The sequence below is a fragment of the Homo sapiens genome, chromosome 13 (assembly GCF_000001405.40).
Source record: "Homo sapiens chromosome 13, GRCh38.p14 Primary Assembly".
Taxonomy (NCBI): domain Eukaryota; kingdom Metazoa; phylum Chordata; class Mammalia; order Primates; family Hominidae; genus Homo; species Homo sapiens.
The window spans coordinates 60,756,052-60,766,707 of NC_000013.11; the positions used below are offsets into that span (position 1 = coordinate 60,756,052).

The window sequence follows — 10,656 nt, forward strand, 5'->3', positions numbered from 1 at the left end:
GGTGAGAACCTCTTAAAACCAGATAAATCTTGTTCTGACATCTGGTTTGTTTACATCTGAGGGAAACACTACAAACTTTAGGCATATTTTTTTATGTGTATGTGTGCATGCGCCAATATTAAAAGTTGGCTTTATGTATCTTCCCTTTGGACTGATTTTCCCATTTGCTAATTTTAATTGTGTGGTATGTATCTCAGGGTCTTGATTAGAGCAATACTTGCTGCTGCTACCCCTCTCACTGGCTTTACACGGGAGAAGTTTATGTTTCACTCACATAATCATTCAGTGCTAGTGTTCCCGGCTGGTGGGCTGTCTTCCTCAGGATGATTCAGGGATTTAGACTTCCTTCATTGCATGGCTTTGCCTTCCCTCTGCATAGTCCTCGCATTCAGCTGCGAGAGAGGATAGAGTAGGCACACTTGCTTCTTAAGCAACTTGGCTCAAAGTGGCATGCGTTACTCTGTTTGGCAAAAACCATTCACATGACATCACTTAAGGGAGGACGACTAAGGAATGTGATCCTTGGCTTGCCATCTGCTTCTTGGCAACAGCTACATACTATGAATGGGGGAACCAGAATCTTTGATGGACAACCTGCTATCTCTGCTATGTTTGATGACATATAGATGTCCTTTTGTAAAAAGCTTGGATATAAGTAAATAGTAAAGAAAAGGGCCTGGAAATAGCTTAGCAGCTGCAAACCTGAAACTAGTATGCCTGTATGAAATCCTAGAAAGCTTTGTGTCTCTTGGGCCAAAGTCTTTGGATGCATTTGTACAGTTTATGAGACTGGGCTTCTATCTTGATATGTGATTAAGTTTAACCTTCCAGTCTGGGTCCTGCCAGACAATCTGCTTGTCACTAGATGCCCCATACCTAGGGTGCCAGACTATAGTCCCTGCCCTTACATCTGCTGGCTAGGATCCTCCTCCCAAGCTGGTGGAGTACGCAGAACCATGAAGCTGACACAGCACCTGACTTTGAGCATGGCCAGTGCTTGGAGACTTGATGTCAGAAATCTCTATTGATTTCTGGGACCAAGTTTCCACTGGTAGCCCCTAATTTACAGTGAGTTTTTATTTGTGGGTATACCAACTGGATTTATTAGCTGGTGGCTTTGACCCAGAACAGTGAGAATAATCTGCTTCGTATGTTCAGCTAACTAGCAGGTTTCTGCCTGCATCTGGTTTGGCAGATGGTCACCAGTGAGGTACAGCTTCATTTTCTATATTCCTATATTCCCCTTCCTCTTTCCTGGCTATTCTGAATTTAGCCTCAGCCCCATCGAGTGCTCAGTCCCAAATAGAGAATTTATGTAAGCCCGACTGTCATTTCACACTTCATGTACTCCTTTCCTTCATTATTAATACTTTGTCATATTCTTGATAACCGCAGCTGATTATAACCCTGCAACCTTACTAACTCTAGAGCTGGTCATGCCTTGTGAATGTCCATATTCACCAGTCTTTGCTTCCCATATTCCACAAACCCAGACAGATACTCATAGATCAGAGGAGGAACACACATCGTAAGTCACATCACTCAGCACAGGAAAGTGGCCCAGGCCCGTCTGAGAAATGTGTCTTAAGTTTCGCCTTCTGGTAGCAACTCAGTATTCTCGGCATGACAATCTCGGACAGTAGATAAATCAAGTTCACTTAACCTTTTCGCATACTTAAGATCCCCAGTGACATGGCATTAACAATCATGTATGCCTGGACACATGATTTATATTTCCCCCACCTTGCAAAAAAGAAGGCAAAAACGAATAAGAGAACCTAAACTGTGTTATACATTTTTTTTAAGGCAGAATGTTTGAGCCAGCAAACAAAAATTCTTGCTTTAGTTAAAGAGCATAAAGGAAATGTTCACTGAAGAGAGCTTTTCTTTTCAATTGCTATCCTGCAGTACAGGGCACTACTTGGGTGGTATTTATGCCTCTGGGTAGGGGACAAGTACACAGAGGCTCCTCCTTTGTTCTGCTTGTACCTCTTTTTTTTTCTGCTTTGTCCTTTTCTCACACAGGGCAGTATCACAAAAGCAAATGTTTATTGCTCAGAAAGGCAGGACTTTGTTCTAGGGTTCAATGCACTATATGCTTGTGTGGACACCAAACAAATTTCTTCAGTATCTAGACTTGGGTTGATTCAATAATTAAAAATGATAACAATGACAACACCAATAGATTAGTATTGGGTCACATGGCTTCTTTCGGATCTTGTAGGAGACTTCCATAGGAAAAAAAGAACCCTGCATGGCTGAGAAATTTATTTTCCCTGAGTTCCACTTATCAATTGTAGCTGCTTTGCCAAGCATACTGAATGATGCCTTTTGGTGCCTTATGTAGCACATAGAGTGTTATTTAATGTTTAGAATTTGCATGATTTTAGTAGGAATTATGATTTCCATTTCATCACAGAGTTCACCATTCCACTGAGCTGGTTCACATTTATCCAGGGTCTAGGAGTATTTTGTTTTGTGATCTTTCATTTAAGGGGTTTGACTAAAGTGGGTGTTTCATTGAACCCTATGCTGTATAAGGTCTTGAGATGTTAAAGGTGGTAGAAATAGTGAAATTAATACTTATTGGACAGCTACTTTCTGCCAGGCACTTTACTTGTGTCTTAGTTCAATTAATATTCATGGCCACCTTTTGAGTAAGGCAGTAGCTTCCACTATACAAATGAATGGACTAATATTGTGTAAAAAGCCCCTGTATACTTAACAGTATGTAGAACACAGTCTCTGAATCCCATTTCTGGAATTTTCGTCCCTTCAGCCTCCTAGCTCTCAAGGTTTATAGGAACTGCAAGCAGTGGCATGCCAATGCTTGTTGAATGAAACCCAGCAATAGGTACCAGTAATGAAACAAAAATTTCATTTTCAAACTAGGGAACATGACTATGTTCTTTTTCTTCTTTCCTTGAACAAAACACCCACTGATTTCAAGGGCACTTTTGTACCCATAAAAATTCTTGAGGTAATCTATTAGTACTTGATTACTAGTTTTATATATATATGAAATCATGTTTTTCTATTTTAATGTGCCCATGGTATAATAGGGATAGGTGGTAATTTTGCTATTTAATATAGTCATGTTTATGCAGTACATTGGAATGCATGCTGAGTTTTGCAGTTGAAAACAACTAAGGCTGACATAAATACTAGGAACGTGGAGATTTACCTGTTAGTATACTACCAATACTGCTATTTCTATCTTTCACAAAAAGGTGTGTGTGTTTAGAATCATACAAATTCTAAATATTAAAAACTACAATTTATATATACTACATACATACTCAGATACTTATAAATACCTGACATATATTCTATTCACTTATACTTTCTGAGAAGCTATGAAGCTATGAAGGTAATAGTTCGACACAGTGGAACTACTGTCATCGTAAGATATGAAAAGCAGCAGGAGATAAGTGGTCTTGTTATTGACTGAAGTAAAGTAGAATGACCCTGTGATTCGGATCTGATTGACTTAACTACTTCATTACATATCGACAGTGTCAGAAGGCCATCATAAAACAATCATTTGCCTTAAAAATGTCGTTACTTTATAAAGGCACGACTCCAGTCTTATCAGAATGTCACAGCAGAAGCCTTGGCAACAGTATTTGTTGACTGGCAGGAAGCCCATCTGTAAGCCAGTGATATGGGGATCTGGCATCTGTGGAATGTGATTTTATTTCACCGAGAATAAAGAAGCTGTAGCCTTGGAAATGATGAACACCGAATTTGTCTGCTGGGGGGATTGTGACTGTTGTGCCTTTCTTTTCTCTTAATCGGCTTCCACCGGAACCAAGAAAGGATCTGTTTCCTATAACTCGGGTGAAGAGAATTGGGGGTGGGGCTGACAAAAGCATTCAAAACAGGGATTCTTAACCTTTTTGATACTTTAACCCCTTTGCAGGCAGTTGAAGTTTGTGAATGCCTTCTCAGTATGTTTTAAATGCATAAAATAAAAAATGTACGTTTTTAAGGGAAACCAATTAAATTGAAATGCAAATATAAAAGTATGTAAAAAATAAATTTGTACTGAAGAAATATAAGTGCTCCTTGATTAATGAAACATTGATAAGTGTAAAACACCATTTAAGATTGGCAAGAGCAGTAAGTAATATGGAAATATAAGTAATTTCTATTAGTGACAAACTCACAGGTAATGCTGACACTACTGTGGTTTGTTACCTAAGTTCATAATTGAGGAAAAGTGCACGTTACACTTAAAGGTTAGGGAAAATGGAATTTTTTCCATCTACATGTACAAACCCTTGATTTCTATTCACAGATTCTTTGGGGGTGTCTACGGACATGAGGTTAAGGAAATCTGCTTCAGAATGGGCAAGGAGGGATTTGGCTGAAACAGCCAAATATTTCAAGATAAAATTTTTCAATATAAAAGTGAAATGATCCAATACTGCTGTGATACAGCAATATTCATAAAATAAGAATAAATGTGTCACTATTCTTCATGATTTTTAGATATCTCTTTTAGGATCTGATATTGAATTTGTAAAGAAATATTTAACTACAGTTGAGCAATTCTGATTGTTTTAGTTTCTTTATAAGGTTGGATTCAAGAAAAATTAGTTTGGTGGTTTTTATTAAACTCCATATCTGACACAATTCTAATTAAAAATGTTCTTGCTATTATTTATGTATTCATTTATCTACATACACACATAGAAAAGTATCTAGAATGATGTTCACCAATAGCTAGGGATGATTAATATTGAGTAAAGATTTGGGAGTTTATTTTTCTTTTTTCTTTTTGCATTTAAAAAATTTTATTTTTTTTAACTTTTATTTTAGGTTTAGGGGTGCATGTGAAGGTTTGTTACATAAGTAAACTTGTAATTTCATCAACCAGGCATTAAGCTCAGTACCCAATAGTTATCTTTTCTTCTCTCTTCCCTCTTCCCAATCTCCCCACTCAATTATACCACAGTATCTGTTATTTCCTTCATTGTGCTCATAAGTTCTTATTATTTAGCTCCCACTTATAAGTGAGAACATGTGGTACTTGGTTTTCTGTTCCTGTATTAGTTTGCTCAGGATAATAGTCTCCTGCTCCATCCATGTTCTGGCAAAAAACATGCTCTTGTTTCTTTTTCATGGCTGCATAGTATCCATGGTGTATATGTACCACATTTTCTTTATCCAAGCTGTTGTTGATGGGCATTTAGGTTGATTCCATGTCTTTGCTATGATGAATAGTGCTGCAATGAACATTCACGTGCATGTGGCTTTAGGTAGAATGATTTATATTTCTCTGAGTATATGCACATTCCTTTTTTTCCCACAATCTCACCAGCATCTGTTATTTTTTGGCTTTTTAGTAATAAGCATTCTCACTGGTGTGAGAAGGTATCTTATCGTGGTTTTCATGATGTTGAGCTTTGTTTCATATGCTTGTTGGCTGCATGTATGACTTCTGTTGAGAAGTCTCTATTCATGTCCTTTGCCCACTTCTTAATGGTGTTGTTCGTTTTTCTCTTGGAAATCTGATATCGATTTTTCCTAGGCATGAACATGGGATGTTTCTTCATTGTGTGTCTTCTCTTTTTTCTTTGAGTGCTATTGTATAATTCTTATTGTACAGATCTTTCACCTCACTGTTAGTTGCATTCTGAGGTATTTTACTCTTTCATGGCAGTTGTGAATGGGATTGACTTCCTGATTTGGCTCTGGGTTTGGCTGTTGTTGGTGTATAGAATGCTAGTGTTTTTTGTACATTGATTTTGTATCCTGCAACATGCCTGAAGTAGTTTATCAGCTGGAGGAGCTTTTGCATTGAGTCTATGGGATTTTCTAGATATATTAACGGAGATAGTTTGACTTCCTCTTTTCCTATTTGGATGCCATTTATTTCTTTCTGTTGCCTGATTGCTCTGGCTAGGACTTCCAATACTATGTTGAATAGGAGTGGTGAGAGAGGCCATCCTTGTCTTGTGCTGGTTTTCAAAGGAAATGCTTCCAGTTTTTGCCCATTCAGTATGATACTGGCTGTGGGCTTGTCATAAATAGCTCCCATTATTTTGAGATACCTTCCATCAATATCTAGTTTATTGAGAGTTTTTAGCATGAAGGAGTGTTGAATTTTATTGAAACCTTTTCTGTGTCTGTTGAGATAATCACGTGGTTTTGGTCTTCAGTTCTCTTTATATGATGAATCTCCTTTATTGATTTGTGTATGTTGAACCAACCTTGCATCCCGGGGATGAGGCCTACTTGATCATTGTGGATTAGCTTTTTGATGTGCTGCTGGGATTCAGTTTGTGAGTATTTTGTTGAGGATTTTTACATGAATGTTCAGCAAGGATATTGGCCTGAAGTTTTCTTTTTTTGTTGTATCTCTGCCAAGTTTTGGTATCAGGATGATGCTGGCCTCACACAATGAGTTGGTGAGGAGTCCTTCCTCCTCAGTTTTTTGGAGTGGTCTCTGTAGGAATGCTACCAGTACTTCTTTGAACATCTGGTAGAATTCGACTGAACCCATCAGGTCCCAAGACTTTTCTTGGTTGTTGGGCTATTTATTACTGATTCAAATTCAGAGCTCGTTATTGGTCTGTTCATGAAATCAGTTTCTTTCTGGTTCAGTCTTGGAAGGGTGTATGTGTCCAGGAATTTATTCATCTCTTCTAGATTTTCTAGTTTGTGTGCATAGAGGTGTTCATAGTAGTTTTTGATGGTTGTTTTTATTTCTGTGGGGTCAGTAGTAACATTCTCTTGTCATTTCTAATTGTGTTTATTTGGATAGTCTCTTTTCCTCCTTTATTACTCTAGTTAGTGGCCTATTTTATTAGTTTTTTCAAAAAACCAACTTTTGGATTTATTGATTTTCTGAACTTTTTTTGGTGTCTCAATTTCCTTCAGTTCAATTCTGATTTTTGATTATTTCTCATCTTCCGCTAGCTTTTGGGTTGATTTATTCTTGCTTCTCTAATTCTTTCAGTTGTGATGTTAAGTTGTTAATCTGAGATCTTTCTAACTTTGTGATGTGAGCATTTAGTGCTAAGAATTTTACTAACATTGCCTTAGCCGTGTCCCAGAGATTCTGATATGTTTTATCTTTGTTCTCATTAGTTTAAAAAAACTTTTGATTTCTGCCTTAATTTCATTATTTACCCAAAAGTCATTCAAGAGCACGTTGTTTAATTTCTATGTGTTTGCATGGTTTTGAGCAATTTTCTTAGTCTTGACTTCTATTTTTATTATGGTGTGGTCTTAAGTGTGTGTGTGTTATAATTTTTTTTAACATTTGTTGAGGATAGTTTTATGTCCAATTATGTGGTCGATTTTAGAATATGTGCCATATGGCAATGAGAAGAATGTATATTCTGTTGTTGTGGGGTGGAGTGTTCTGTAAAGGCCTACCATATCTATTTGGTTCAATGTTGAGTTTAGGTCCTGAATGTCTTTGTTAGTTTTCTTCCTTGACGATGTGTCTAATACTGTCAGTGGAGTGCTGAAGTTTCCCATTATTATTGTGTGGGAGTCTATGTCTCTTTGTAGTTCTCTAATAACTTACTTTATGAATCTGGGTGTTCCTCTGTTGGGTGCATCTATATTTAGGATAGTTAGGTCTTCTCGTTGAATTGAATCCTTTACTATTATGTAATGCCCTTCTTTGTCTTTTTTATTTTTGATTTTTGTTGGCTTGAAATCTGTTTTGTCTGAAATTAGTATTGCAACCCCTGGTGTTTTCTGTTTTCCATTTACTTGATAGATTTTCCTCCATCCCTTTATTTTGAGCCTATGAGTGTCACTACATGTGAGATGGGTCTCTTGAAGATGGCATAGCATTGTCCAGCTTTCCATTTTTATCCAGCTTTCCACTCTGTACCATTTAAGTGGGGCATTTAGCCCATTTACATTCAAGGTTAGTATCAATATGTGTGGATTTGATCCTGTCATTGTGTTGTCAGCTGGTTATTATGTTGGCTTATTTATGTGGTTGCTTTACAGTGACACTGATCTGTATGTTTAAGTATTTTCTTGTATTAGCTGGTAGCAGTCTTTTTTTTCTACATTTAGTGCTCTTTTCAAGATCCCTTTTAAGGCAGGTCTGATGGTAATAAATTTGCTCAACATTTGCTTATCTGAAAAAGAACTTATTTTTCCTTCACTTAGGAAGCTGAGTTTTGCTCGACATGAAATTCTTAGTTGAAGACTTTTTTCCTTAAGAATGTTGAACATAGGACCCTGGTGTCTTCTGGCTTGTAGGGTTTCAGCTGAGAGGTTTGCTATTAGCCTGATGGGGTTCCCTTTGCTGATGACCTGCCCTTTCTCTGTCTGCCTTTAACATTCTTTTATTTTGATCTTGGAAAAGCTGATGATTATGTGCTTGGGGATGATCTTCTTTTGTAGAATCTTGCAGGAGTTCTCTGTATATCTTGAATTTGACTGTTGGCTTCTCTAGCAAGGTTGGGGATGTTTTCATGGACAATATGTATTTCATGGACAATGTGTTTTCATGGAAATATGTATTCCAAGTTGTTTGCTTTCTCCCCCTCCCTTTCAGGGATGACAGTGATTTGTAGATTTGATCTCTTTACATAATCGCCTACTTTTCAGAAGTTTTGTTCATTGCTTGAAATTCTTTTTTCTTTATTTTTGTCTATCTTATTTCAGAAAACCATTCTTCAGATTCTGAGATTCTTTCCTTAGCTTAGTTTATTTGGCTGTTAATACTTGTGATTGCATTGTGAAATTCTTGTATTGTGTTGTTTAGTTCTTTCTTGGTTCTTTCTTTTTTTCTTTTTTGAGACGGAATTTCACTCTTGTCACCCAGGCTGGAGTGCAATGGCATAATCTTGGCTCACTGTAACCTCCGCCTCCCGGGTTCAAGCAATTCTCCTGTCTCAATCTCCCGAGTAGCTGGGATTATAGGCGCCCACCACCATGCCCTGCTAATTTTTGTATTTTTAGTTACAGACGGGCTTTCACTATGTTGGTCAGGCTGGTCTTGAACTTCTGATCTCAGATGATCCACCCACCTTGGCCTCCCAAAGTGCTGGGATTCCAGGTGTAAGCCGTTGCACCTGGCCTGTGTTATTTAGTTCTGTCAGAACTGTTAGGTTCTTTTATATTCTGGCTCTTTAATCCTTCAGTTCCTGTTTCACCTTATTATGATTCTTAATTTCCTTGCATTGGGTTTTGCTGTCCTCCTGAATCTCATTATCTTTGTTCCTATTCATATTCTGTATTTTATGTCTGTCATTCCAGCCAGTTCAGCCTTATTAAGTCTTGTTGGAGAATGGGTGTGGTTGTTTGGAGGACATACAGCACTCTGGCCATTTGAGTTACTGGAGTTCTTGCATTGATTCTTTCTCATCTCTGGGTGTGGGTATTCCTTTAACTGCCATGTAGATTGAGTACAGTCAATAGGCTTCTTTTCTGGATGTTTTCACCAGGCTGAGACTTTGTGCAGGGTCTTTATTTGAAGCTGACATTTTTTCTCTGGTTTTAGAGGGGGGTATGTTACAAGTAAAGATTTTGGAGTTACAAGTAAAGAAAGAACAGAGAGCAGAGTAAGTGCTAATAGGGGGTAGGGCATTCTTTTCAAGAAGTGGGTGCTAAAGGATAGAGAACAATTATTTCTTGAGATGAGATCTAAGGCAGCATTGCCCTTAGACTTCGAAAACAGAAACCTCTGCCCTGGGCCCCTCAACTGTTCTGAGTACAAGGATACAGTGGTAAACACAGTTGATAAAGCCTTGGTATCCTGAAACCAGTCTGCCTTTTTCAGAATTGGTAGCAACAGCACAGCTTCTCTCAATGAGATACATAGTCAGGATAGAAATCAAAACAACTTGGTAAATAATCACACTATGTAAACATTACTTTTCAGTAACAGTGTCATAAGTGACTAAACACTGCTTAGCAATAGCCAGGTATAGTCATTATTTATAGTCTCTTTTTGAGAAGAATTTTACTCAAGCCATCTTTCAGAATCTTGCTTTTCACAATTTTCCTCTTTTCTCTTTCTGGATTGACAGAGAGACAAGTTAAAGAAAATCCTCCCACACAGTTTCCACTATTGGCGTAATGACTAACACTCTTATCAAAATCTGGCTGTCTCAGTGCTGGAATGTGCTGCACTATGCTGTGTTTGCTCATGTGTAAAATGGCACACTTATAACTGGCCTGTTTTCCCTTTTGGTATTAAGAACTCACATTCCAAATGCAAGTGTGAGAGAAGCTGGAGGGCGTGGAATTCCCTGGTGTTATTGGCCTTCCCTCCGCCATGGTCTGACTGGGGTGGTTTGTCTTGACTTGCTGGTGCCAGGGTGACAGTGTTGAGATAGCACAGTTCAGGGATTCCTTAGGTGGGGCTTTTCCAGCGGAGAGTGTACTGTCAAGTAAAATTGAATCAAAGAGTGACATGAACAAGATTTTTTTTTAAACTTAATTTAAAATTTTAAAGTGTTCTAGAAAAACACTGGACTTTCACATTAGTTGTGTGATCTTAGTGTCTTAATTTTCTCACTTGTAAAATGGGGTTATAATATCAATGTCACAGAGTTTCAGTGAAGATGAATATAATTGATGTATTTAGAGCATCTTTTTTAAGAAACTGGGTCTCACTGTGTTGCCCAGGCTGGAGTGCTCTGCTGATATTGCTTGACCAAGCATATACGT

General features: G+C 37.8%; 1 annotated feature.

Moving 5' to 3' along the window:
- Nucleotides 9,904–10,198: a silencer, noted in NCBI's record as "tiled region #6777; HepG2 Repressive non-DNase unmatched - State 24:Quies". NCBI's record gives its function as "represses a minimal TATA promoter and a strong SV40 promoter by Sharpr-MPRA in HepG2 cells {active_cell/tissue: HepG2}" and the evidence as "EXISTENCE:reporter gene assay evidence [ECO:0000049][PMID:27701403]".